At 51.2% G+C, this 26,690-nt stretch overlaps 1 protein-coding gene across 19 annotated transcripts in view, besides 4 other annotated features; it reads left to right on the top strand.

Annotated features, from left to right (window-relative positions):
* Positions 4,781 to 4,830: a silencer, noted in NCBI's record as "silent region_16460". NCBI's record gives its function as "represses an Ori minimal core promoter by ATAC-STARR-seq in GM12878 lymphoblastoid cells {active_cell/tissue: GM12878}" and the evidence as "EXISTENCE:reporter gene assay evidence [ECO:0000049][PMID:35858748]".
* Positions 4,830 to 26,690, top strand: part of ARAP3 (ArfGAP with RhoGAP domain, ankyrin repeat and PH domain 3) — a 28,829-nt gene continuing 6,968 nt past the window's right edge. For 2 of the 19 annotated variants that reach the window (XM_047417512.1, XM_047417511.1), the window contains exons 1-21: positions 4,830 to 4,887; positions 6,589 to 7,097; positions 7,238 to 7,299; positions 7,404 to 7,515; positions 13,252 to 13,455; positions 13,590 to 13,659; positions 13,927 to 14,047; positions 14,135 to 14,319; positions 14,402 to 14,508; positions 14,759 to 14,958; positions 15,080 to 15,165; positions 15,308 to 15,490; positions 15,660 to 15,795; positions 16,432 to 16,548; positions 16,997 to 17,138; positions 17,249 to 17,351; positions 20,417 to 20,636; positions 21,686 to 21,749; positions 21,975 to 22,138; positions 24,805 to 24,957; positions 25,271 to 25,376. In XM_047417512.1, coding sequence (XP_047273468.1) covers positions 6,808 to 7,097; positions 7,238 to 7,299; positions 7,404 to 7,515; positions 13,252 to 13,455; positions 13,590 to 13,659; positions 13,927 to 14,047; positions 14,135 to 14,319; positions 14,402 to 14,508; positions 14,759 to 14,958; positions 15,080 to 15,165; positions 15,308 to 15,490; positions 15,660 to 15,795; positions 16,432 to 16,548; positions 16,997 to 17,138; positions 17,249 to 17,351; positions 20,417 to 20,636; positions 21,686 to 21,749; positions 21,975 to 22,138; positions 24,805 to 24,957; positions 25,271 to 25,376 — 2,825 coding nt within the window. In that variant the 5' untranslated portion in view covers positions 4,830 to 4,887; positions 6,589 to 6,807. Of the gene's footprint in view, positions 4,888 to 6,200; positions 7,098 to 7,237; positions 7,300 to 7,403; positions 7,516 to 13,251; positions 13,456 to 13,589; positions 13,660 to 13,926; positions 14,048 to 14,134; positions 14,320 to 14,401; positions 14,509 to 14,758; positions 14,959 to 15,079; positions 15,166 to 15,307; positions 15,491 to 15,659; positions 15,796 to 16,431; positions 16,549 to 16,996; positions 17,139 to 17,248; positions 17,352 to 18,492; positions 18,590 to 20,416; positions 20,637 to 21,685; positions 21,750 to 21,974; positions 22,139 to 22,370; positions 22,713 to 24,804; positions 25,018 to 25,270; positions 25,377 to 26,690 lie in introns of those variants that run through there. The other 17 variants (XM_047417510.1, XM_005268499.2, XM_047417514.1 and 14 more) reach the window with 12 other exon arrangements.
* Positions 11,532 to 12,200: an enhancer, noted in NCBI's record as "OCT4-NANOG-H3K27ac-H3K4me1 hESC enhancer chr5:141054427-141055095 (GRCh37/hg19 assembly coordinates)". NCBI's record gives its function as "activates a minimal SCP1, AML or CMV promoter by ChIP-STARR-seq in naive and primed H9 embryonic stem cells {active_cell/tissue: H9 hESC(naive and primed)}" and the evidence as "EXISTENCE:reporter gene assay evidence [ECO:0000049][PMID:30033119]".
* Positions 12,201 to 12,868: an enhancer, noted in NCBI's record as "OCT4-NANOG-H3K27ac-H3K4me1 hESC enhancer chr5:141053759-141054426 (GRCh37/hg19 assembly coordinates)". NCBI's record gives its function as "activates a minimal SCP1, AML or CMV promoter by ChIP-STARR-seq in naive H9 embryonic stem cells {active_cell/tissue: H9 hESC(naive)}" and the evidence as "EXISTENCE:reporter gene assay evidence [ECO:0000049][PMID:30033119]".
* Positions 21,819 to 21,888: a silencer, noted in NCBI's record as "silent region_16459". NCBI's record gives its function as "represses an Ori minimal core promoter by ATAC-STARR-seq in GM12878 lymphoblastoid cells {active_cell/tissue: GM12878}" and the evidence as "EXISTENCE:reporter gene assay evidence [ECO:0000049][PMID:35858748]".

Raw genomic sequence — 26,690 nt, 5'->3', positions numbered from 1 at the left:
TCCTAAAATTCAAACCTAAATTCATGAGTCTATTGCCCCATGCTTAAACTCTTCCCTGGCTCCCCATGGCTCCTGGCATGGAGACCAAATCTCATACAAGCCCTCCAAGGGCCTGCATGGCCTGGCCCCTGAGATCCTTTCAGTCTCAGCTGGTCCCAAACTCCCTGTCTCTTTGATCTGTCTCCCTTCCTCACCAGGCTGACTCCTACCTCAGGGCCTTTGCACTCGTGGTTCTTCTGCCTAGAACACTCCCTCCCATCCCGCTTAACTCCTACCCATCTTTCTGAGATCTCAACTTAAGCAGAGCTCCCTGCAGAAGCCTCCCAGACCCCCAGGCCAGGTCAGCTGCCTCTGTTATATGCTCTTACAGTGCTTCCCTTCAGAAAATTCATCTTGGTTTGTAATTACACATTTATTTGGGGGTTGTTTGATAAATGTCTCACTTCTTGAGCAGGTCATGTTCCCTAAAGTCTGCTGAGCACGTCATTGCATCTCTAAACCCTTGAGCAGTGGTTGGTCCAGAAAAGATGATTAATAAAAACATGAGAAATAAATGAAAGGATTGAATGGGAGTCTTCCTTCCTGTAAGAAACATGCTCGGCCGGGCGCAGTGGCTCACGCCTGTAATCCCAGCACTTTGGGAGGCCAAGGCAGGCGGATCACCTGAGGTCAGGAGTTCAAGACCAGCCCCGCCAACATGGTGAAACTGCGTCTCTACTAAAAAAAACCACAAAAATTAGCCGGATGTGGTGGTGGGCGCCTGTAATCCCAGCTACTAGGGAGGCTGAGGCAGGAGAATCGCTTGAATCTGGGAGGCGGAGTCTACAGTCATACGAGATCGCACCACTCCACTCCAACCTGGGCGACAGAGGGAGACTCTGTCTCAAAAAAATAAATAAATAAAAAGAAACTTGCACCTTGGCATCCCCCTAGGCCCTGTCCCATCTCATCAGGACCAAATGTGGGTGATGGCTGTGCCTTTTACCATCCAGAGGGTAAGGGCAGGAAAGGAGTGTGACCTGGAGGCCACTGGAGACCATGGAGGCGATCAGGAGTTGCAGGGGTGACAGGAAATTGAGTTACAAAAGTGATGGAACAGACAAGATGACAACTGGGGACCCTGGGGAAAATACAAGGGGTACAATGTGGTCTAATTTGGCAATAGGATGCCACAGGCTGATTGATTAAAATAGGTAACGGGATATGCCAGAGTGATGAAGAAACAGGCAAGCTGGGTGCATACCAGAGTTATCATGGAAGTAACTGGCAAAAATAGGAACAAGGAACAGGAAACACTTTGAGCACTCATTGAATGTCAGGTCCTTTCCACATATTACCCATATATTTCCATAGATTAATCTTTACAACCCTGTCAGGCACTATTCTCTCTCCTTTTTTCAGAAAAGGAAACTGAGGCACACAGGGCAAAATAGAGATGAATAATCTGCTCAGGTCACAGCTGGTAGAGGTGGCATCAGGGCTTTATTTTAGAGACTGTTTTTTTGTTGACCTTTTGTTTTAGTTTTTGTTGTTGTTGGTGGTGGTGTTTTGTTTTGTTTTTAGAGACAGGCCTCACTGTCACCCAAGCTGGAGTGCAGTGGTACGATCTCGGCTCACTGCAATCTCCACCTCCTGGCTCAAGCAATCCTCCCACCTCCACCTCCTGAGTAGCTGGGACTACAGGTGCACACTACCACACTTGGCTAATTTTAAAATTTTTAGTAGAGACGAGGTCTTGCTATGTTGCCCAGGCTGGCCTCAAACTCCTGCTCTCAAACAATCCTCCTGCCTTGGCCTCCCAAAATGCTGGGATTACAGGTGTGAGCCACAGTGCCTAGCCGAGAGACCTTGTTCTTAATTACTGCATACCATCCACTTTTGGTGAACAAAGTGGCCTCCAAAGTGATTGTGGCTTAATAGTCTATCATTTGAGTGGGGAACAAATCGAGACATGGAAGGGGCTATTGAAGAATTCCCTTCCACATCTCCTCATTGCTTCATTCTTCCTCTTCCTCTGCTCACTAGTGTCCCTTTTGTCCTATGTGTTAAGATTAAGATTTAAGATTTACTAATTTCGGCCGGGCATGGTGGCTCACGCCTGTAATCCCAGCACTTTGGGAGGCTGAGGTGGATGGATCACCTGACAGGAGTTTGAGACCAGCCTGGCCAACATGGTGAAACCCTGTCTCTACTAAAATACAAAAATTAGCTGGGTGTAGTGGCAGGCACCTGTAATCCCAGCTACTCGGGAGGCTGAGGCACAAGGCTGAGGCACGAGAATTGCTTGAACTCAGGAAGACACAAGCCAGGGGCCAGAAGCCTCCACCTGCCCCATATCATTGAGCCAAAGAAGGGAAGTGGGGTCTGAGGGAGGAAGCCAGGTCTCCCTCTCTGTGGCTCTGCCCCATCATCTGGCATTGGTGTCCTTAACTTGGAGTCAGTGGACTTGGATGGGAAAAGAATATTACTTTCACTAATCTCTAGCTGAAATTTAACATTTCCTCCAATTATGACAATAGCAACAAACCAGTCATTTTAGCCATAACTATGGCTTTGTCACCAGTAGAAATCACATATATTTTTATATCATATTACAATATTGCAGATCTTTTGAAATACCATTTATGCTCATCACTGCATCAAAGTTATGTGAGGTATCAACCTACCACTAGATCTTATTTAAAGCATTAATAAAGAAGCACATATATTACTATATCACATCGGTTTTATATGTGTATTACAACATAATTGGTTTCCTTTGCAATCCTATATATTTTATTTTATGCATTTTAAAATATTATTCTGAGATGAGACCACATACTTTACCGTATTGCCAAAGGAGAACATGGCACAAAAAGGTTCAGAACTCTTGCATCTAGCCCCTGACCCAAACTCCCCGGCATCCATTCCTCAAAACTCCCTGTGCCCTTTACTGTCTTTTCCTGCTCCCTTATTTTGCTGGGTTAGTCTGAGTCCTTAAAGAAGAAGCTGCCAAGGCAGAATGCAAGGATTTGACTAGGGGAGATGCCTGTGAGAGAGGAAGGGAGCCTGGAGCTAGGAGAGCTGTGAAGGAGAGAGGGAAGGAATAAAGGTTGAGAGGAGCATCCTAAAACACCAGTCAAAGGAAAGTTCAGCAAAGCCATTGGGAAATCTTGATCCAAAGTCAGCTGTCAAAGGAGTCCCCTATCTCCCAGGAATGGGTCTGCCTTAGATCTCTGCTGAGCTCTGTCACTGGCTGGGAGCAGCCCAGTGGGAAGCTGGCCTTAGATTTCAGAGAGAAGCAGCTGGGGCCATTGGTTAATTTCACTCCTCACAGTGTAAGATCTGTGAGGAGCATTCTCACTGCCACCACAGTTGCCCATCTGAAAAAAAGGACATGGTGCAGGGGTCCTGTCCAGGGTGGTAGGTGAGCATGGTAGTTATAGATATAGACTTGGAGGGTTGGCTATTTTCTAGCTGCAGAGTCTTGAGCAAGTTATTTAATGCTCCCTGTCTCCTTATATGTAAAATAGAGGTGATAAAATTTCCTATTTGTAGGGATATTTGTGAGGATTAAAGTTTGCAAAGCAATGTTTACATAGATCCTGGAGCACGGTCAGCTCTCAATAATTGGTAGCCCTTATTATGGCTATTGCAATTATTATTTTATTACTATAATTCTCTTTCTCAAAGGGAAGGCCGGGAAAGTGGGGCTCCAGTAGGTTGAAGATGACAGTCCCTCCCCTAGCTGAGGCAGCTGGAAGAGGTGGGAACCACTTCCTCCCACTCCCCTCTTCTTCCCCTGAGGCAGGGGTCTTCCCCTAGCTACTGACAGTTCCTGTGTCTGCTGACTCACAGCCAACTTCCTCTCATACAAACAGGAAAACACAGCCGGCCAGCGCCCCCGCCACCCCCAACACATACACACACACACACACACACACACACACACACACACACACACACACACACACAAACACCCCCCCCCCACACCCAAACACTGGTCCTGCTCAGAGAGGGAAGTGCCTCCGCCCCTGGGAGACAGGCTCCAGGACCGGGGTTCCGGCAAGATTAGCGAAGGAGAGAAGGGCCATTCCTCTTCAGGCCTCCCCGGCATCCCCCCTGAAATTTTAGGGTGGGAGTTGGGGAGAAGGGGCGGCTTCTCCCATGAATGAAACAGCTGCTTGCTTGGTCACTGAGCTTGCAGGGCGTCCGCCTGTCCCAAAAAGGCAGCCCCAAACCTTGGTTTGGAAGTAGGGATGTGCCTTGCGGACCTTCATCCCTCGAAGGAACCTAGGCCGGGCCCTTGGGGATGGAAGTGGGGAGAAACAGACGGGTACCCCTCTGCTGGGCCTCTGCGCTTGTTGCCCAGGCCAAGTCTCAATTCTGGATGTCCAGCTTCCGTCCCCACACTAAACTGGTTGCCAGGGTCCAGCCACCCTTCCGGGCGTGGGAGAGGTGCCCTGGGGGATTAGGGCTCGACCTTTCCTCCTCCCTTTTGGCAGGACTGGAGGGCATGGGAGCAGCGGAGAGGATGCAAAGCCGTCCCTGGCACTCTCCCTTTCTCAGTTTCTACCTCCGTCCCAGTCTCCGTCCCGGTCTCTGCCTCTTTGTCCCTCTCCCTGAGGTTGTCTTCGTCCCAACGTGTTCTGGTCCTTTCTCGGCCTGCGAGAGGGCAGACTGGGGGCAGACTCGGAGATAAGCGCGGCGGTTGGGCAAGAAGCCCAAACCCTTTGGAGGCCTGCGCTTGCACAAGGAGTGGCCGGGGCCCCGCGGAGGGAACCGGCCGGGCGGGGCGGGGCTGGGCCCGTCGAGGGAGGGCAGAGGGGAGGCGGGGCCGGCGCGGCGGGACCCAGAACCTCGGACGAGCGGCGGGCACCCGCGAGCGGACGGCGGCCGCGTAGTGAGGTGAGGACCCCCGCGCCCCCCGGGTCCCTGCTTCCCAGACTCCTCCCCATCACCTTCTCGAGGGCCTTCGTGGGCTCCCAGGCCCCCTCGGCGCCGGCGGCCCTCCCCATCCCTGCCACGACCCGCCCCTCCCTCCTGCTGCCCGGCCTCTGCCCCATCCCTCCTCGCCCCCTCCCTCGTCGCAGCCTGCGCTGCCCGCCACTGCCCGCCCCGCCCCCGCCACTCCTGTCCCGCGAGCACCTCAGCTCCCAGCCCCGTGCTGTCGAGCCCGGCCTGAGTCACCGGGAAACCGGGCCCTGAGTCAGGGCCCGAGGCTCAGCACGCGGGCCCTGGCTTGGGAATGAGGCCCAGCTGGAGAGAGGCAGAGGGAGGCCAGCAGTGATGCTGGGACGGAGAGGGCGTCCTGGTCACCGACAGAGCACAAGAGTAACAGGGAGAGAGCCTAGGCCGAGGCGGAAGACAGAAACCCAGGCTCAGAGGCAGACAGAGACACAGATACAACTCAAGATCTGGTTAGAATTGTAGACTGAGTCAAGGACAAGCTTAATAACAGAGAGCAAAACAGGGTGGGACAAGGAGAGGGACAAAGAAGAATTGAGAGGTTGAGATGGAATGGGGCAGGGACAGTGACAAGGCAGAGATAAAACTCAGGGGCCACAGAATTAGAGACAGGTCTATGAAATAGACCAGGGTCAGGGTCGGGGTCAGGCTGGTGGAAGGGGGACAGAGCACAGAGACCTGAGCCCAAGGGAATGAGCAGGGAAAAGGCAAGCTCAGAAAAGGAAGGCTTGGAGAAAGCAGAGGTGGGGGGATGGCATTTCACACTGCCAAATCGCTACAGGGCATGTGCACACACAGGTGAACAGCATGTGAACATGCTGCCGGTGGGCAGAGAGTCCAGAAGCCTCTGGAGTACCCCTGACCAGAGGTCAGGCCTCATCTCTCTGGCATCCCCATCCTTATTCTTCAATTAGCCTCCACCCAGGGCCGGGACCCCACACATTAGGACTGGTTAGGGCTCTCCCGGCAGCCTGACCAAAGCAGGCAGGATGTGGAGGCGGCCAGGGCTGGAGGGACAGGAAGGAAGTCTGAGCAGAGACAATAGGTGGAAGGGGAGGAGGGACTGGGAACAACCAGGATTAGGACGGCAGGCCTGCATACATCGGCTCTGGAAACAAGAGGGAGGGGGCGTCTGCACCTCCTTCCTCCTATCTAGGCTGCCCCTCTCCCTACCTTACTCCAGAGCTGATTGGCCACATCATTGGCCCCTCCTCTGCATCTCCCTATCCCACTCTGACCCACAGCATTCTAGCATCTTGTCCCATGCTTACTCAGTTGGATGTGCAGTCAGGCAGGAGCAGAGCTTTGACCCAGACCCAGGGTGGGCAGGAACTGAGGGGCCAACTCTAGCACTGACTTACTGTGAACCTGGGGCAAGCCCCTTCCCCTCTCTGGGCCTCAGTTTCCTTAACTTCAAATGAAGTCCCTTCCCTAAGTAGAGAGCCATTGCTGTTGTTCTGGGATGGCTCTGCTTCCAGATCGCAGGCCTTTCAGCATCTTTCTTTGGAGGAAGATTGGAGGCTGGTGCTCACTGTCCAGGCCTCAGACTCTGGGGCAGAGAGGGGGATTCTCAGCCTGAGCCCTCCCTTCACCCTGCCCCTCCCCCCAGCAATGGCCTGAGCCCCCATGGCTGCCCCTCAGGACCTGGACATCGCTGTGTGGCTGGCCACGGTGCACCTGGAGCAGTATGCAGACACGTTCCGACGGCATGGCCTGGCTACAGCAGGTGCAGCCCGGGGCCTGGGCCACGAGGAGTTGAAGCAGTTGGGCATCAGCGCCACAGGGCACCGGAAACGCATTCTACGCCTGCTACAGACAGGCACCGAAGAGGGCTCCCTGGATCCCAAATCAGATAGTGCCATGGAACCATCCCCCAGCCCAGCCCCGCAAGCCCAGCCCCCTAAGCCCGTGCCGAAGCCCAGGACCGTGTTTGGTGGACTCAGTGGCCCTGCCACCACTCAGAGACCTGGGCTGAGCCCAGCCCTCGGGGGACCAGGAGTGTCCAGGAGCCCAGAGCCCAGCCCAAGGCCTCCTCCTCTCCCCACTTCCTCCTCTGAGCAGTCTTCAGCCCTAAATACTGTGGAGATGATGCCTAATTCCATCTACTTCGGCCTGGACTCAAGAGGCAGGGCACAGGCAGCTCAGGACAAGTGAGTGGAGTTGGCTCCCTAGGGACTGATGCTGGGAGGAGTGGGGAGGAGAGCATGAGGGGGACGGAGGCGGGGAGCAGGGCATGAAGGCTTGTTCTTCCTCCTCTCTCCTTAAGTAACCAATAGACCTTTCCCTTCAGGGCCCCAGACAGCTCCCAAATCTCTGCCCCCACCCCTGCCCTCAGGCCCACAACAGGCACAGGTAACTGGGTTATCACGGGTTGGGGGAGAGGGATAGTGCCGGCAGGACCTCATACACTCCCAGCGATCTCCTCTTCCTTGTGCGTTCCCCTCTCCTCCTGCCAGTGCACATCATGGATCCTGGTTGCCTGTACTATGGTGTCCAACCTGTGGGGACTCCAGGAGCCCCCGACAGAAGAGAGAGCAGAGGTGTTTGTCAGGGCAGGGCTGAACACAGGTGAGTACTAAATAGGGAAGTGGTGGGAGGGAGGAGCAGGTGAGTCGGTGGCGGCCATGTATCCAGTTATTCAACAAATGTGCATTGAGTATTCACCAGCCAGGCACTCAAGATACAGGATGAGTATCACAGACCTAGTGCCACCCTCAGGCAGCTTGTGACTCAGTGGGACAGACAGGGAATAAAACAAGTAGACAAACCAATGGTCATATAATGGAAAATTGGGAGAAGTGCTTTTCTTTCTTTCTTTCTTTTTGAGACGGAGTCTTGCCTTGTTGCCCAGATTGGAGTGCAGTGGCACAATCTCGGCTCACTGCAACCTCCCCCTCCTGGGTTCAAGCGATTCTCCTGTCTCAGGCTCCCGAGTAGCTGGGATTACAGGTGCGTGCCACCATGCCCGGCTAATTTTTATATTTTTAGTAGAGATGGGGTTTCGCCATGTTGGCCAGGCTGGTCTCGAACTCCTGACCTCAGGTGATCCTACCTCCTTGGCCTCCCAAAGTGCTGGGATTACAGGCATGAGCCACTGTGCCCAACCAGGAGAAGTGCTTTTCATTTTTTCATTCAACAAATATTTATTGAGCAACTATCATGCACCGGATGTAGATGCTTGGGATAGATCAGCGTACACAGAAATCCCTGCCCTTGTGGGGAGATAGTCTATTAACAATAAACATAATACATTAAATACTATAGAACGTTAAAAGGTATTAAGTGCCATGGAAAAAATAGAGCAGAGTAAGAGGGCTGGGGGGTTGGCCGGGCATGGTGGCTCACACCTGTAATCCCAGCACTTTGGGAGGCTGAGGCAGACGGATCACCTGAGGTCAGGAGTTTGAGACCAGCCTGGCCAACAGGATGAAACTCCGTCTCTACTAAAAATACAAAAATTAGCCAGGTGCGGTGGTGGACGCCTATAATCCCAGCTAGTTAGGAGGCTGAGGAAGGAGAATTGCTTGAACCGGAGAGGTGGAGGTAGCAGTGACTAAGAAAAAAAAAAAGAGGGCTTGGGGGCAAAATGGGTGGACTGCAATTTTTCATTTACAGTTAGCGGAGCGTTAAGAAGATGACATTTGATCAAAAACTTGAAGGAGGTGAAGGAGTTAGCCATGAAGATAACTGGGGAAGAGTGCCCCGGTAGGGCAAGTGATTGGAACAGAGGCCTCAAGGCGGGTGTGTGCCCAAAGGGATCCAGGAGCAGTGAGGAGGCCAGGCCATCTTGGCTGGGGCAGGTGAGCCACGGTGGGAGGAATGGCAGGAGATGAAGTCAGAGAGGTAAAAGAGGCCAGATAAGGGTCAGGCACAGTGGCTCATGCCTGTAATCCCAGCACTTTGGGAGGCCAAGGTTGGCGGACCACCTGAGTTCAGGAGTTTGAGAGCAGCCTAGTCAACATGGTGAAACCTCGTGTCTACTAAAAATACAAAAAAAATATAGCCGGGCGTGGTGGTGGGCGCCTGTAGTCCCAGCTACTCAGGAGGCTGAGGCAGAGAATGGCGTGAACCCGGGAGGCGGAGCTTGCAGTGAGCAAAGGTTGTGCCGCTGCACTCCAGCCTGGGCAACAAAGCAGGACTCCGTCTCAAAAAAAAAAAAAAATAGCTGGGGGTGGTGGCGCACACCTGTAGTCCCAGCTACTAGGGAGGCTGAGGCAGGAGAATCACTTGAACCCGGGAGGCGGAGGTTGCAGCAAGTCAAGATCATGCCACTGCCCTCCATCCTGGACAACCGAGTGAGACCCTGTCTCAAAACAAAAACAAAAACAAAAAAAACAAAAACAAAAAACAAAACAAAACCAAAAAAACAAAAACAAGGGGCCAGATAAGGGACTTTGGCTTTTACTCTAAGTGAAATGGGAAGCCATTGAGGGGTTTTGACTTTATAAAGGGATCCCCCTGGTTGCTATGTTGGGAGTGGTCTGTAGGGGGCCAAAGGAGAAGCAGAGAGACCAGTGGGGAGGTTTTTGTAGTAATGTAGGTGAGAGACCTCAGAGTGTAGTGATAGTAGTGGAGATGATGAGAAGTGGCTTTATTTTGAAGGCAAACTGTCAGATTAACTTGGGATGTGAGAAAAAAAGAGCAGTCAAGAATGACTTTGAGGGCTTCCATCTGAGCTGGTGCTGACCAGTATGGTAGCCATTAGCCACATGTGACTACTGGGCCTATGAAATGCGGCTAGTATCCTTTGAGATGCACAATAAATGTAAAACACCTGCTAGATTTCAAAGACTTAATATGAGAAAAAGCAATACTGGATGAATATAACAAATATAAACATAAATTATCTTATGTTTATATTTTTATGTTGATTACAGAATTTTTATGTAGTAAAAAATAGTAATTTTTATGTTGATTACATACTAAAATGTTAATGTTTAGGATATATTGGGTTAAATAAAATATATTATTAAAATTAATTTCACCTGTTTCTTTTAATTTTTTTAAACGTGGCTACTGAAAAGTTTAAAATTACATACTTGGTTCGCATTAACTTCTGCTGGATAGCACTGTCCTGAGCACCTGAAAGTTCCTGGAGCCGCCACGGTCTGAGATGGGGAAGACTGTGTTCAGGCAGCTGGGAGGAGAGGGTAGATTAGGAGTGCAGTTCTGGATGTGTTGAATTTGAGGTGTAAGTTATGCCTCCAAGAAGAGGTGAAAATAGACCACTGGGTAGACGAGCTTAGAGTCTAGAGAGAGGTCGGAGCTGGAGACCTAAACTTGAGAGTTGTCAGCACTTAGATGGGTGCATAGAGCTGTGAGTGAGTGCAGATAGAGAAGAGGACCAAGATCAAAGCCCTTGTGCACTCCCATATCTAGAGGTTTGGGAGAAGCGGAAGAATCTGCAAAACGGACAGAAGAGAAATAGCAAAGTAGAAGGCCAGGAGAATGTGATGTCATAGGAGCAAAGTGAGGAAAATGTAGAAGAAGAAGGGAGAGGCCAGCTGTGTCCTACGCTGCTGAGGGGTCTGCTGCTGAGTATGATAGGACTTAGAATTCACCCTTGGAATTGGAGGTCACTGGGGATCTTGACAAGTACAGTCTCAGAGTGATGGGGTGAAAGCTCGATGAGAGTGGGTTTTAAGGGAGAATAGAAAAGTACAGACAGTGTCTTTTGAGGAATTTTTCTGCAAAGAAGAGCAGAGAGTTGGAACTATTGTTGCTAGAGGAAGCTGAGTCAAGAAAAGAGTTTTTTTGTTGTTTTTGAGACGGAGTCTTGCTCTGTCACCCAAGCTGGAGTGCAGTGGTGTGATCTCGGCTCATTGCAACCTCTGCCTCCTGGGTTCAAGTGATTCTCCTGCCTCAGCCTCCCAAGTAGCTGGGACCACAGGTGCGCTTCACCACACCCAGCTAATTTTTGTACTTTTAGTAGAGACGGGGTTTCACCATGTTGGCCAGGATGGTCTCGACCTCTTGACCTCGTGATCCGCCTGCCAAAGTGCTGGGATTACAGGCGTGAGCCACCGTACCTGTCCAACAAGAGTTTTTTATTGGATGCAATGTTATATAGGTTTGTAGGTGAATAGGAATGATCTGGTAGGGAGGGACAGTTATGTAGGGGAGAGGAGAGTGAGGGATGTCTAAGTGATTGTGTAGGTGAGAGGAATAGGATTAAGGGCACAGAGGAGGGTCTGGCTTTAGACACGAGTGTTTATTATAGTCACAGGAGGAAGGCAGAATATGTGCGTGAAATTGGGTAAACATGGCACTGGGAGTCTGTGGGGGTTCTTATCTGATTACTTCAATTTCTCAGTGAAGTAGGAAACAGAGGCTGCAGTAGCAGTTTTCAACATTAGCTGTATCATAGGCTGGGGAAATTTTTTTTTTTTTGTGACAGAGTCTCGCTCTGTTGCCCAGGCTGGAGTACAGTGGCTCGATCTCTGCTCACTGCAACCTCCGCCTCCCAGGTTCAAGCAATTATCTTGCCTCAGCCTCCCGAGTAGCTGGAATTACAGGCGCCCGCCAGCACACCTGGCTAATTTTTTTTTGTATTTTTAGTAGAGACGGGGTTTCACCATATTGCCCAGGCTGGTCTTGAACTCCTGACCTTGTGATCTGCCTGACTCGGCCTCCCAAAGTGCTGGGATTACAGGTATAAGCCACCACGCCCAGCCTTTTTTATTTTTTATTTTATTTTTTTTAGGCTGGGGAATTTTTAAAACTATGAGTGCCTGGGCCCTCTCCCAGAGATTCACATTTAAGTGTCTGGTGTGGAGCCCATGTACTGATATTTTTTAATGTTTCCCAAGTGATTTTGTGCTGTTGAGGTTGAGAACCCCTGGAAAGTGACAGAGAATAATAGAGGAATCTACTCAGGTTAGTTAAGGGAGGCCTCTCTGAGAAGATGACATAAGCAAAGACCTGAAGGATGAGAAAAAGCAGCCCAGGGAAGCATGGAAGGCGGCAAGTTCTAGGTAGAGGGAAGAGCGTGTGCAAAGGCTCTGAAACATGGAGGAGAATGTGGCTATAAGCAAGGGCCAGGGCAACACAGGATGCAGTCAGGGGAGTGGCCTACGGGCCTCACTGTACAAGTTCTTGCAGCCCATTGGAATTTGGGTTTAACCTAAGTGCGAATGGGACGTTATTGAAGGGCTTCCTGCAAGGGAGTAAAATGGTCTCATCTGCATTTGTAAAAGAACACTTTGGTGCCTGTGGGAGAATAAGTGTGGGAGGGAGGGCAAGAATGAAAGCAGATGGCCAGTTAGGGAATTTGCATCACCCTGGTGAGAGTTGATGGGAACTTGGTCCTTGGTCCAGGGAGAGGTCAAGAACGTTTTGGACAAAGAGTCAAGACATATTGATTAGCCATGGGCAACCATGACAGGGAGCCATCTACACAGCCCTTCCCCGTCTTTTCCATCCAAGTCATACTAACGGCAAAGAAGATGGACTGAAATTTTCCCAATAAAAATTCCAAGTATGCTCAGGAAAGCAGCCCCATGCCAATCTTAAGGGTTCTGAACCTCCCTATTCCCCTGTTTGAAAAGCAGATCCAGGCTGAGCACAGTGGCTCACACCTGTAACCCCAGCAATTCGGGAGGCCGAGGTGGGAGGATCACTTGAACCCAGGAGTTTGAGACCAGCCTGGGCAACATAGCGAGACCTCATCTCTACTAAAAATAAAATAAAAAATTAGCCAGGTGTGGTGGCCAGCACATGCCTGTAGTCCCAGCTACTCAGGGTGGGAGGATCCCTTGAGCCCAGAAGTTTGAGACTGCAGTGAGCCATGATTGCACCACTGCACTCAGCCTGGGCAGCAGAGAGAGAGAGAGAGACCCTGTCTCAAAAGAGGCTGGGCGTGATGGCTCACGCCTGTAATCCCAACACTTTGGGAGGCCAAGGCGGGTGGATCACCTGAGGTCAGGAGTTCGAGACCAGCCTGACCAACATGGAGAAACCCCGTCTCTACTAAAAATACAAAATTAGCCAGGCGTGGTAGCGTATTCTTGTAATCCCAGCTACTCAGGAGGCTGAGGCAGGAGAATCGCTTGAACCCGAGAGGTGGAGGTTGTGGTGAGCCGAGATTGCGCTATTGCACTCCAGCCTGGGCAACAAGAGCGAAGCTCCATCTCAAAAAAAAAAAAAAAAAAAAAGAAGAAAAGAAAAGAAAAAGAAAAGAAAATCAGATCCAGTACCTGCCAGGCATTCTATTCTTAGGTGATGTGAGTAGGATGGAGAAAGTACAAAGAGGGTGTCCGGGGTACTTGTCTAATGTGTGTCCCTCCCTGTCTTGGCCCCCACAAGGCTCAGCAGACAGGATCTGGAGGCACGGGAGGATGCTGGCTATGCCAGCCTTGAGCTACCTGGAGACTCCACCCTCTTATCGCCCACCCTGGAAACAGAGGAGACCAGTGATGACCTCATTTCACCCTATGCCAGCTTCTCCTTCACGGCAGACCGCCTCACGCCCCTGCTCAGTGGCTGGCTAGACAAGCTCTCCCCTCAGGGGTGGGTGCTGGGAGGGGAAGGGAGGGAGAAAAGAGAGGCTGGGAGGTGGTTGCGCGGGAAAGTGCCCCCAGACCCTATGATCCCCCTAACCCCATGCAACCTCAAACACTGATCTTGGCTCCTTCCTTCCTCAGAAACTATGTCTTCCAGAGACGCTTTGTGCAGTTCAATGGGAGGAGTCTGATGTACTTTGGCAGTGACAAGGTGGGGGGCTGGGAGATGTGACGATATGGAGATGAGGGAGAGGGAGGGCTGAGAGGGGCTCAGAATTGGAAGGAGGGAAGTCCATTGTGTGTGTGGGCGGGGCAGTGACTGCATGACTGATGTCAGCATTTAAAGTAGCTGGCTTAGCAGCTGTACCCACTGCTTGTGGATTTAATGCCAATCTTATAAAATCTGGGGCAGGACCCAGGGGCTGGCACACATGGCTCAGTTCCTGTCCTCATGGGTCATTGAGCTCTCTCTCTCCAGGACCCCTTCCCTAAGGGTGTGATACCTTTGACTGCCATTGAGATGACCCGCAGCAGCAAGGACAACAAGTTCCAGGTCATCACCGGCCAGAGGGTGTTCGTGTTCCGCACAGAGAGCGAGGGTGAGGGCCACAGCCCCCTGAGTCAGGGCAGGAGGGAGGGAGGCTGTGTGAGCAACAGCCACTGACCTGCTTCTCCATCCCCACCAGCTCAGCGGGACATGTGGTGCTCCACGCTGCAGTCCTGTCTGAAGGAGCAGCGCCTCCTGGGCCACCCCCGGCCCCCCCAACCACCCCGACCCCTCCGCACGGGCATGCTGGAGCTGCGTGGACACAAGGCCAAGGTGTTTGCTGCCTTGAGCCCTGGAGAGCTGGCACTGTACAAGAGTGAGCAGGTGAGGAGAGCCGGGCCAGGGCTGAGGGGCCTGAACTAGTCCCTTCTGGCACCTCATGATGCCCACCCCCTGACCCCACCAGGCCTTCTCTCTGGGCATCGGGATCTGCTTCATCGAACTGCAGGGCTGCAGCGTCCGGGAGACCAAGAGTCGAAGCTTTGACCTGCTCACACCCCATCGCTGCTTCAGGTGGGGCCTGGGCCAGTGGGAGGCAAGGCTGGGGGACTTTTGCGGGAGGCACAAGGGTGCAGAGGACTAGAGGCCTCTTTAGTAGGACGTCAGAGGGTATGCACAGATGGTAGTCCAGTGAGCTAGGTCAAGATGTCAGAAGGGTCTGGGCTGCCCCAGGTGTGGCCTGTGGTGGCTCCTGCAGGAAGAGCCAGGGGGATGGGACATGGCAGGTAGGTCCATGCCCATGGACTGGCTGTCCACCCCTCAGCTTCACAGCCGAGTCTGGGGGTGCTCGGCAGAGCTGGGCGGCCGCTCTGCAGGAAGCAGTAACCGAGACCCTGTCTGACTACGAGGTGGCTGAGAAGATCTGGTCTAATCGGGCCAACCGGCAGTGTGCGGACTGTGGGTCCTCCCGCCCAGATTGGGCTGCTGTCAATTTGGGGGTGGTCATCTGCAAGCAGTGTGCAGGTGAGGAATGGCCTCAAGCCCATGTGGGGAACAGGAGGGCTGGGACTAGAGGGCTCAGGGTACCCGTGCCACATGCCCCTCACACCCTCACACACCCTCACACACCCTCACACCCTCACAGGTCAGCACCGGGCCCTGGGTTCTGGGATCTCCAAGGTGCAGAGCCTGAAGCTGGACACGAGTGTCTGGAGTAATGAGATAGTACAGGTGAGCGGGCGAAGAGGGAGAAGGTGGGAGGCGTAGAAGGGAGCGTCCAGAAGCAGGCCTTGGGCCAGCCTGGGGACAGGAATGGAACATCTGAGGACTCTTGAGTTCCTGTCACCTGCCTTTGTCCCTTGTCATCCCACAGTTATTCATTGTCCTGGGAAATGATCGTGCCAACCGCTTCTGGGCAGGGACCCTACCCCCAGGTGAGGGACTACATCCAGATGCGACCCCTGGCCCCCGGGGAGAGTTCATCTCCCGAAAGTACCGTCTGGGTCTCTTCCGGAAGCCCCACCCTCAGTACCCAGATCATAGCCAGCTTCTCCAGGTAGGAGGGACAGAGCAGGGGTGATCTGGGGTGGGGGGGTCAGGAAACACTCTCTGGAGTTGGAATGCCTAGACTTGGGTGGTGGGGACTGTTTTTAGTGATGATACGACTGTCCCCAGTGCTCTCAGTTTGGGATTTGGGGCTGACAGAGGCCCTTCCCTCCCTGCAGGCACTGTGTGCAGCTGTGGCAAGACCCAACCTGCTGAAGAACATGACCCAGCTCCTCTGTGTTGAGGCCTTTGAAGGCGAGGAGCCCTGGTTCCCCCCAGCCCCTGATGGCAGCTGCCCTGGCCTCTTGCCCTCAGGTCATTCCCCCAAGTGCCTCCTCTCTCCCCTACAGGAATTCTCAGACCCAACCTATGATTCAGTTCTTCCAAGGGGCCCCAATTAGCTGATCACAATGGCCCAGCCTGGGCAGTTTCCCAAACCCTCAGATCCTCCAGGGCCTATCTCCTGATGTCATGTGATAGCTGATGACGGTCATGGCTGGGGAGGGTCTGGGTGTTCCAGGTGCTAGTGCTGGTCCACCCCTGACAGGGCCGACCCATAGGTCAGGACTAGTCTCCCTGGAGACAGTGTGATCTCTCAAAGAAGTGATCAGCTTAGTGACACTCATCTCCATTGGTCAGGCCAGGGGGCTGAGACCCTTACAGGATGGTACATGCCCTGAGGTGCTCACCCAGAGCTAAGAGCCTGGTTGGCTGGCTGGTAGGGAGAGGCAGTGGGCAGGGGCTGGGCCAGAGGCCTCCCTGTCTCATTACCCCCTGCCTCTCTCTTCTGCAATCTGGGTAGTGAGGGATCCAGCTCCATTGGGCTCTACTTGGCTGTGCTGGCAGTGGAGTCAGGTCCCACTGTCTTTCTCCATTTCATCCCTTCCCCAGAGGGGGTCAGGTTATCCCGTTGCACTTGGTTGACCTGACTACTTCCCCTTCCCCTTGCAGACCCCTCCCCTGGTGTGTACAATGAGGTGGTGGTGCGTGCTACTTACAGCGGCTTCCTGTACTGCAGTCCCGTCAGCAACAAAGCTGGACCCTCACCCCCTCGCAGGGGCCGGGATGGTGAGGGGGAGCCAAGGGATGGGAGGATACAGGGACAGAAAGTGGATGGGTGTGAGGGTACTGCAGAGGGACAAAGAGGAGAGGGCTGGGATGGGAAAGTGGGGCCATGCCTGGGAATGGGCTGGGGTCCTGGGGGTGAGAGAGGGACCATGCCAAGTGGCAGCATTGGGTGATAGTTAAGAGCATCTGTTCTGAAGTCAGACTGTCTGGGTCAAATCCCAGCTCTGCTACTTCCTACCTATGTGTCTTGGGCAAGCTACTGAAACTGAGCCTCAGTTTCCCCATCTGCAAAACAGGACTGAGTATAACACCTCATAGGGTTATTGTGAAGATTACATGGGATCATATATGGGCAAAGGGCTTGGCACAGAATAAATATCTGGTAAACTGGAACTATGACAGTGGGGGCAGAGGTCTGCTGCTCCCTGACTATCTCCCTCTGCCTTAGCTCCCCCGCGCCTTTGGTGTGTGCTGGGAGCAGCTCTGGAAATGTTTGCATCGGAAAACAGCCCTGAACCCCTCAGCCTCATACAGCCCCAGGATATTGTATGTCTGGGTGTGAGCCCCCCACCCACTGACCCAGGTGACAGGTAATAGCCCTTCTGTGACCACTGAGCTTCCCCCTTTTCTCTTCCCAACCTCCAGCCTGACAGCCCTCTCATTGGTCCCATCCTCCTCCCTGACCTCATCTTCTCTCCAGGTTCCCCTTTTCCTTTGAGCTCATCCTCGCTGGGGGGAGGATCCAGCATTTTGGCACAGATGGAGCTGACAGTCTGGAGGCCTGGACTAGTGCTGTGGGCAAGGTGAGACAGGAGAGCGCCCTCTGCAGCATCTCATGCTTTCCTTGTCCCCACGTGCTCCCATCTTCTCCTCTCTTATTCCTACAGCCACTTCTTCCACTAACAGCTAAGGGTGACTGAGCACATATTCTGTGCCAGGCCCTGTGTTAAGCACTGCCCACTCGATATCTCATTTAATTTTCACAACCACTCTCTGAGGTGAGGTTTTAAGTATAAGGAAACTAAGTTTTAGAGTTTACGAATTCACTTGGTCAAGGTCACAGAGCTAGGAGGCAGCAGAGCACAGGACTAAAATTCAGGCCTCTGTCTGCAAAGCTCACGGCCCAAACCTCACTGTGCCAATGCCTCCTCCCACGAAGAAGCTGGCTCTGATTCCCACTACCCACCCTCTGCTCCAGTTTTCCAGCAGGCCCGGAGGCAAAGCTACCTTCATATTTCCCAGCTTCTCCATTCTTAGATAAGCCAGTATCTCTCTCCTGTATGCCATTCCCAAAACTGAAAATTCAGGCCCTGGAGTCAGACATCCTGGGATTTGAGTCACAACTCTCAGCCTTGTGAGCTTTTCCACATCTGTAGGGTGGGCGTAAAAGACTCACCCCCTAGGGTTGAGGATTAAATGACATGTGAGGCCCACACACAGCAAGCCCTCAGTATGTGGGCGTTGAAATAATAATGATGGTAGTGATGATGACGATGATGACGACAGTCTCTCCCATCCTAAGACAGCTTTTCCCTAAGATCTGTTCCATCTTCAACTTTTCACCCTGGTGCCTTCCTTTCCCTCCTGACAATGCGTCAGAAAGTCGTGTGCAGCCTGCAGTTCCCCTTTGACCCCTTGCAGCTACCCTCCTCTGCCCATGCCCTCCTGAACTGCTACCTGGCAGGTCACCAGTGCCTTCCCATTTCCAAAGGCCAAGGCTGCCTCCCAGCCTCACCAGGTCATCTCTGCAGCATCCGGCACTCCTGTATGGGAAATGCTCCACTGCTCTGGCTTTTGACCCCCTTCTCCCAGGTCTCCTACAACTCCTCACACTAACACATTGTCTCCATATCTTTTCAGGGCTCTGTCGTGGCCCTCCCAACCAGGTTTAAGTCTCCTCTCATTATTATCTACACTTTCCAAAAAGCTATCCCATCCTTTAAGGCAGTGCTACCCGGAGGGTGCTGTGAAGACTGTCACACCATACTAGCCCCTGGACTATGTGTTATGGTCCATGACAGGATAAGCACAGAACTTGAGAGTAAGCATTTAGAATATTTTATAGCAATTTGACATAGTAATTTTATGTGTTGAATCTAATTATAAAAAAAGGGCTTGGGCCAGGGGTGGTGGCTCACACTTGCAATTCCCAGCACTTAGGGAGGCTGAGGCGGGAGGATTGCTTGAGCCCAGGAGTTTGAGAGCAACCTGGGACCCTGTCTCTACAAAAAATAAGAATTAGCCAGGCATGATGGTGCTCACCTATAGTCCCAGCTACTGGGGAGGCTGAGGTGGAAGGATTGCTTGAGCCTCGGAGGTTTGAGCCTACAGTGAGCTGTGATCATGCCACTGCACTCCAGCCTAAGTGAGGCCCTGTCTCAAAAAAAAAAGCGGGTCGGGTTGTATTCTTCATTTTTTCATCCAGATTTTCTAGCAACTCATTTTTATTATTATTATTATTTTCTTTTTGAGATGGAGTTTCGCTCTTGTCTCCCAGGCTACAGTGCGGTGAAGAGATCTTGGCTCACTGCAACCTCCGCTTCTTGGGTTCAAGCGATTCTCTTGCCTCAGCCTCCTGAGTAGCTGGGACTACAGGCGCACATGACCTCGCCCGGCTAATTTTTGTATTTTTGGTAGAGATGGGGTTTCACCATGTTGGCCAGGCTGGTCTCGAACTCCTGACCTCAGGTGATCTGCCTGCCTCGGCCTCCCAAAGTGCTGGGATTACAGGCTTGAGCCACCGCACCTGGCCACTTATATTATTTTTAATGAAAATACAGTACTGGCCGGGCGTGGTGGCTCATGCCTCTAATCCCAACACTTTGGGAGGCCGAGGCAGGTGGATCACCTGAGGTCAGGAGTTTGAGACCAGCCATGCAACATGGTGAAACCCCGTCTCTACTAAAAATACAAAAAATTAGCCAGACATTAGCGCCTATAGTCCCAGCTACTCGGGAGGCTGAGGCAGGAGAATCTCTTGAACCCGGGAGGCAGAGGTTGCAGTGAGCCGAGATCATGCCACTGTACTCCACCCTGGGAGAGAAGAGCAAAACTCCATTTCAAAAAAAAAAAAAAAGAAAGAAAGTACACTATTGGTTAGTGACAGCTTGGGACTTTAAGAAGGAAAAAGGAAAAAACCCTGGTCCTTTACTGCAATTTACTGCAGGTAGTTTGAGAAGCACTGCTTTGCAGTCAACCTCAAACATCCTTTCCTCTATGAAGCTTCTCCCCAGCCCCCTAGGGTGGTGGGATTTCCCAGGGCATCATGAGTCTTCAGGTGTAGCATTTTTGGCTATAAAGAATGAGTATGCCTTTTTGGCTGGGCGCAGTGGCTCATGTCTGTAATTCCAGGACTTTGGGAGGCCAAGGTGGGAGTTCGAGACCAGCCTGGGCAACATGGCAAAACCCTATCTCTACAAAAAAAGTAAAAAAAAATTAGCCAGGTGTGATGGCATGCTCCTGTAGTCCCAGCTACTCAGGAGGCTGAGGTGGGAAGATCACCTGAGCTGGGGGAGGTCGAGGCTGCAGTGAGCCATGATCACGGCACTGCACAAGAATGAGTATTCTTTCTTATACCCACACCTCAATTAAGGGCATGAGGCTGCCACACAGGGGTCTTCTTTATGTTGGGGAGAGCAAACTGAATTGAATTGAATTGAATTTCTTTCCTGTCTTTCTCCAACCATCTCATGTCTCCTCCTTGGCTGTCTCCTCTGCTCTCTCGCATCCCTTTTCATTCCTGCTTTTCTTCTGCTTTCTCTTCATGTTTTTCTCTGCTTTTCGCTACCCCGGTCACTCTCATTTCTCTCCCCTATTCCTTGTCTCTTCCCCCATCCCCCTTTCTCCTGTCCTCCCCCTGCCTCTACAGTGGTTCTCCCCGCTGAGCTGCCACCAGCTGCTGGGCCCCGGGCTGCTGCGGCTGGGCCGCCTATGGCTGCGGTCCCCCTCCCATACAGCCCCGGCCCCTGGTCTCTGGCTGTCAGGGTTTGGCCTCCTTCGTGGTGACCACCTCTTCCTGTGCTCAGCGCCGGGCCCAGGCCCCCCAGCCCCTGAGGACATGGTGCATCTGCGGCGGCTACAGGAGATCAGTAAGCGGGGAGGTTTGGGGGGACAGGGATGAAGGGTGGCCATGCGGGTGCATGGAAGCAGACCTTTATTATTTGGGGGTTCTTATGGGAAACAGCAGAACATGGTGGCTTCAGGTACAAGCTCTGAAGGGAAACTGCCCAGCTTTAGACCCCACCTTCATCACTTCCTAGCTGTATATCCCTGGACAAGTTATTTAACCTCTCTGTGCCTTAGTTTCCTCATCTTTAAAATGGGCACAATAATAACACCTTCCTCAGAGGGTTGTAGTGAGGTTCAAATAGGGTAATGCATCTAAAACATGTATCGCAGAGCCTGACAAGCATTTTTTAAGTGCTCAATAAATGTTGTTATTATTATTATTATTATTATTTTTTTTTTTTTTTGGAGACAGAGTCACGCTCTGTCCCCCAGGCTGGAGTGCAAGGGCATGATCTCAACTCCTCAACTCACTGCAACCTCCGCCTCCCAGGTTCAAGCAATTCTCCTGCCTCAGCCTCCCAAGTAGCTGGGATTACAGGTGTCCGCCACCACGCCCAGCTAATTTTTGTATTTTTAGTAGAGAAGGGGTTTCACCATGTTGGCCAGGCTGGTCTTGAACTCCTGACCTCAGGTGATCCACCCACCTTGGCCTCCCACAGTGCTGGGATTACAGGAGTGAGCCACTGCGCCCGGTCTATAAATATTATTATTATTTGGAATCACTTGCTGGTTGGGTCCTGGGAGAGGGGACTGGGTGCCCTCACTGCTTTCCTTTCTCCTAAAAGAGGAACAATGTAAGATAATATTTTAGGACTTTGGAAACAAGAGACCTGGGTTTGTGCTCAGCCTTGCCATTTTATAGCAAGTAATCTGGGGCAAGTTACTTAAACTTTCTGAGATTAATGTGTCACCTATAAAATGGGAATAATAGTACATAACTCATAGGATTCAACTGAACGTTTTTTGTAATGCTCCTAGCCTGGCATCTATGCACGTTAAGCATTTAATAAATAATAGTCTCTATAATGAAGACGATAATCATGAAAATGTCCACTGATTCTCCTCCCAGGTGTGGTTTCTGCAGCTGACACCCCAGATAAGAAAGAGCATTTGGTCCTGGTGGAGACAGGAAGGTAAATTGCCCCTGCCCTTGACCTGGGGCTCCCCTTCCTGGAGCAGAGCCCATACTCTGCAACCTGGCCTGCTGGGCCATTGCCCACTTCCTCAAAGTTTCTTCCCTTGCTCCAGGATGATTTGGGTTGGGTGTTGCTGCCCTCTGCTGGTGGCTCTGGGAAGTCTGGTCCCCATGCATCTGGGCCTGTCGGAGCTGGCTCTGATTCAGGCCTCTGGGGTCTCAGGACCCTGTATCTGCAAGGAGAGGGCCGGCTGGACTTCACGGCATGGAACGCAGCCATTGGGGGCGCGGCTGGTGGGGGCGGCACAGGGCTGCAGGAGCAGCAGATGAGCCGGGGTGACATCCCCATCATCGTGGATGCCTGCATCAGTTTTGTTACCCAGCATGGTGAGTAGGCACTGGCTGGTACTGAGCCAATGGGGGTGGGGGGTGGGGGTGATGAGGGGGTGGAGAACGTGAGCACAGCCAGGGTGGAACGTGAGCACAGCCTGGAAGAGCTTTGCCTCCAGAAACTGCAGCTGGACCCCAGCTGGTCATTTGACTCTTGGCAGGCTGCTTTGCTTTTCTGAACCTCAGTTCCATCATCTGTAAAATGGGGCCAACGGTCCTCATTTTCCAGGATAATTGTGACAGTGAGACAATGCCTGTCAAGCCTTGAGCGCAGGGCCTGGCATGTAGTAAGTGTTCAGAAGTTTCGTCAGAGTGTGGAGTAGGGGAGGAGCACTGAAAATGTGACTGAGGACACAGAGCCATGGCAAACAGCGAGCAGCTGCGAGGTGAGAGCTGAGCTGTGCAGCACATTCCCAGAAGTTTTAAGCAGAATTATTCTGTGTGGGAGGTTTTCTGGGCTTAAATGGTCAGCTGTGCAAGTGGCCCCCATAATTCTTTGTGAGTTTTTTTGGTTGTTGTTGTTTGCTTTTTTTTTGAGATGGAGTCTTGCTCTGTTGCCCAAGCTGGAGTGCAGTGGCATGATCTCAGCTCACTGCAACCTCCGCTTCTCGGGTTCAAGCAATTCTCCTGCCTCAGCCTCCCAAGTAGCTGGGATTGCAGGCGTGCCCCACCACACCTGGATAATTTTTATATTTTTAGTACAGGTGAGTTTTACCATGTTGGCCAGGCTGGTCTCAAATTCCTGACCTCAGGTGATCCACCCACCTTGGCCTCCCAAAGTGCTGGGATTACAGGTGTGAGCCACCACACCTGGCCCTTTGTAAGTTTTTTATCCTAAATAAGGACCGAAAAGAATCTATTTCTCCTGTGAACCCTCTTTAGAAGGCTGGACTCTTAAGAAGGAAAATTCACAGAAAACTAAGGTGGGCAGATCCCTAGATCATTTATAATACCTAATACAATGCAAGTGCTGTGGAAATAGTTGTTATGCTGTATTGTTTTTATTTGTATTTTGTTGTTGTTATATTGTTATCTTGGGGTTTTTTTCCAAATATTTTTGATGTCGGTTGAATCTGCAGTTGTGGAGCCCATGGATACAGAGGGCTGACTGTAAGGAAAAAAACAGCGCCTCCACAAACATACACATAATTGTTACTAGTCATGGGACATGGAAAGTCAGTGGCTAATAACATTTTCCATGCCTTGGCAGTGGCCTTGTTCAGTGACCTCCCCCACTCGCTACATCCTTATCCTCTTCTCAGCCTCTCTCGTGTTCGAAGGAGGAAATAAGTCAGAGGCCCAGTGAGAAAGCCCTGAAGAAAGAATATGGGGCCGGGCGTGGTGGTTCAAGTGTGTAATCCCAGCACTTTGGGAAGCCGAGGCAGGTGGATCACCTGAGGTCAGGAGTTCAAGACCAGCCTGGCCAACATGGTGAAACCCTGTTTCTATTAAAATACAAAAATTAGCCAGCCATGGTGGCGGGTGCCTGTAATCCCAGCTACCCAGGAGGCTGAGGCAGGAGAATTGCTGTGAGGTGAGGTTGCAGTGAGCTGAGATGGCACCACTTCACTCCACCCCGGGTGAAAGAGCAAAACTCTGTCTCAATTAAAAAGAAAGAATCTGGGTGTTCATCCCCTCCCCTCCAAGGTTCCTGCACCACCATTGTTTAGTCAGCATACATTGGTTGAGCTGCTACCGTGTGTCAGACACTGGGGATATGGCAGTAAGCAGGGTGGGTCCTAGGAGGGTCCTAGGAAGCTTATTTATTACCCATCTCTTAGGTAATAAATAAGAAAACAAATATAGTCTGTTCTTGTTATTTGTGGTAGTTATGCTCTAAGTCACTGCAAACATTTAATTAGTGAATACTGGATCACTGCCCCAGAGGAAATACAGGGTTAGCTTCCTGCTAGCCTCTGGTTACAATAACATTTTAGTCAAGTGATCAATATGTATCCTTGTTTTGTGTGTTTTTCTGTGTAAAGAGACCTTATTTTATATATATTGTTTGATTTGTTAACACTGAACTCAAGGCCAACAGCACTGTAACTCAAGCTAATCTAACACATGTATTTTCTCTGTAAGGCATGTCACAGCTTTCTCACACGTAGAAACACTAGACAGCATTTCAGCACTATACTTGGGCCATTTTAAACAGTGAAGTCACCAACAAAAAGCACAAAAATATGGCTGTAAATATACCATTAAAAGGATACACTTGTTTAGAGTAAGAACATGCACATTGGGGAGGGGACTTAAATTTTTCTTCACTCTGTTCATAAATGATGATGAAAATGCCAAAAGTATTGATTTTGGGGTTACAAATAACTTTTAGCAAGTAGGAGAATGTGCAGATATGGAATCCACAGATAATAAGGGTGGACTATAAAGTGATTTCAGAGAGTGCTATTTAAAAATAAAAGTGGTGAGGAGATACAGTGTGATGGGGGTTGTACTTGTGACAGTGAGGTCAGGGAAGGACTTTCTGAGGATGAGGACTCCAGCAGAGACCTGAGAATCAAGAACATGGAGGCATAGATCTCCTCCTCTCTGAATCCCATGCCCCCATCAGCCACATACCACATAGGGAGGCCACAGATGGGCCGTGGTGGGTGGTGGTAGCCTTTGCACCATGGTGAGCAGAGACGGCTGGCTCTCCTCAGGGCTCCGGCTGGAAGGTGTATACCGGAAAGGGGGCGCTCGTGCCCGCAGCCTGAGACTCCTGGCTGAGTTCCGTCGGGATGCCCGGTCGGTGAAGCTCCGACCAGGGGAGCACTTTGTGGAGGATGTCACTGACACACTCAAACGCTTCTTTCGTGAGCTCGATGACCCTGTGACCTCTGCACGGTTGCTGCCTCGCTGGAGGGAGGCTGCTGGTATTCCTAAGATCCCTGAGAGCCAAGGCCCAACCAGGATCTCTGCCTTCCCCCACCAGAATCCATGGTTTGGCAGCCCTCCGCCCCATCACTTCCCACCCTGGGGGATCATCCAGAGACTTGGCTCAGGGGGAGGTGGGAAGGGGGCAGAGACACATCCATCCTGCATTTGTGCCTAAAAATCCCTCCCTCTGTACCAGCTGCCACTCTTTCTTCCCGGGTCCTCCCCAACCCTCCTCCATTCCATCCCCAGAGCTGCCCCAGAAGAATCAGCGCCTGGAGAAATATAAAGATGTGATTGGCTGCCTGCCGCGGGTCAACCGCCGCACACTGGCCACCCTCATTGGGCATCTCTATCGGTCAGTATGGCTAGACCCTCTGCAGAACCCTTCCTCACTTCAATCTGACCCTGCACTTTCATTCATTTATTCATTCATTCATTCATTTGTTCATTCCACAAACAGTTGTTAAGTGAAGGTATCATAGCACTAAGGTTCAGAGAATGGATTTGAGGGATCAGGCAGACCTAGGCTTTAATCTGGTGCCGTCATTCTAGCTGTGTGACTTTGGGTAAGTTACTTGTTCTCTCTGGGCCTCAATTTCTTCATTTCTAAAAGGAAGTAATGGATGATGTAATGAATCATATCCACCTCATAGTTTATGAGAGAGTTAAATGAAGGCTGGGCGCGTGGTGTCTCACACCTGTAATCCCAACACTTTGGGAAGCAAGGTGGGCGGGTCATCTAAGGCCAGGAGTTTGAGACTAGCCTGGCCAACATGGTGAAACCCAGCCTCTACTAAAAATACAAAAATTAGCCTGGCATGGTGGTACATACCAGTAATCTCAGCTACTCAGGAGGCTGAGGCACGAGAATCGCTTGAGCACAGGAGGTGGAGGTTGCAGTGAGCCAAGATTGTACCACTTCACTCCAGCCTGGGTGACAGAGGGAGATCTTGTCTCAAAAAAAAAAAAAAGAAAAAAGAAAAAAGGAAAAAAAAAGAACAAAAAGAGTTAAAATTCATAAAATTCTTAACTATAGTACATGCCAGTACATCCGGCATGTCATAAGCCTTCAGAAATGGTTAGCAATCAATATTATTTTGTTTTATTATGCGATGTCAGGGAAAGGGTTAGATATAAGAAACACAAAAATGAATAAGATGCACATCTACCTTTACCAATCTGTTAGGGAGACAGGCCTTTGAGCAATTCTGGGGAGAAGCCATTTCTGTATTGCACTGATTATACTATATTACAGGGGCCAGGTATGGTGGCTCACACCTGTAATCCCAACATGTTGGGAGGCCAAGGCAGGAGGATCATTTGAGCCCAGGAGTTGGAGACCAGCCTGGGTAACATAGTGAGACATCCCATCTCTATAAAAGATAAAAATAAATAAATAATAAAAATATACTATATTATAGGGATTGGTCAACTACAGGCCCATGGGCCAAATCCAGCTTGTTGCCTATGTTTGTAAATAAAGTTTTGTACATAAAGTGTAAAGCCACACCCATTCATGTATATATTTTCTTTTTTTTTTTTTTTGAGACGGAGTCTTGCTCTGTGGCCCAGGCGGGAGTGCAGTGGCGCAATCTCGGCTCACTGCAAGCTCCGCCTCCAGGGTTCACGCCATTCTCCTGCCTCAGCCTCCCGAGTAGCTGGGACTACA

Source organism: Homo sapiens, chromosome 5, assembly GCF_000001405.40.
Source record: "Homo sapiens chromosome 5, GRCh38.p14 Primary Assembly".
NCBI classification, from domain to species: domain Eukaryota; kingdom Metazoa; phylum Chordata; class Mammalia; order Primates; family Hominidae; genus Homo; species Homo sapiens.
The sequence above is the reverse complement of the archived record's forward strand: the minus strand, read 5'-3'. Positions and strand labels throughout refer to the sequence as shown.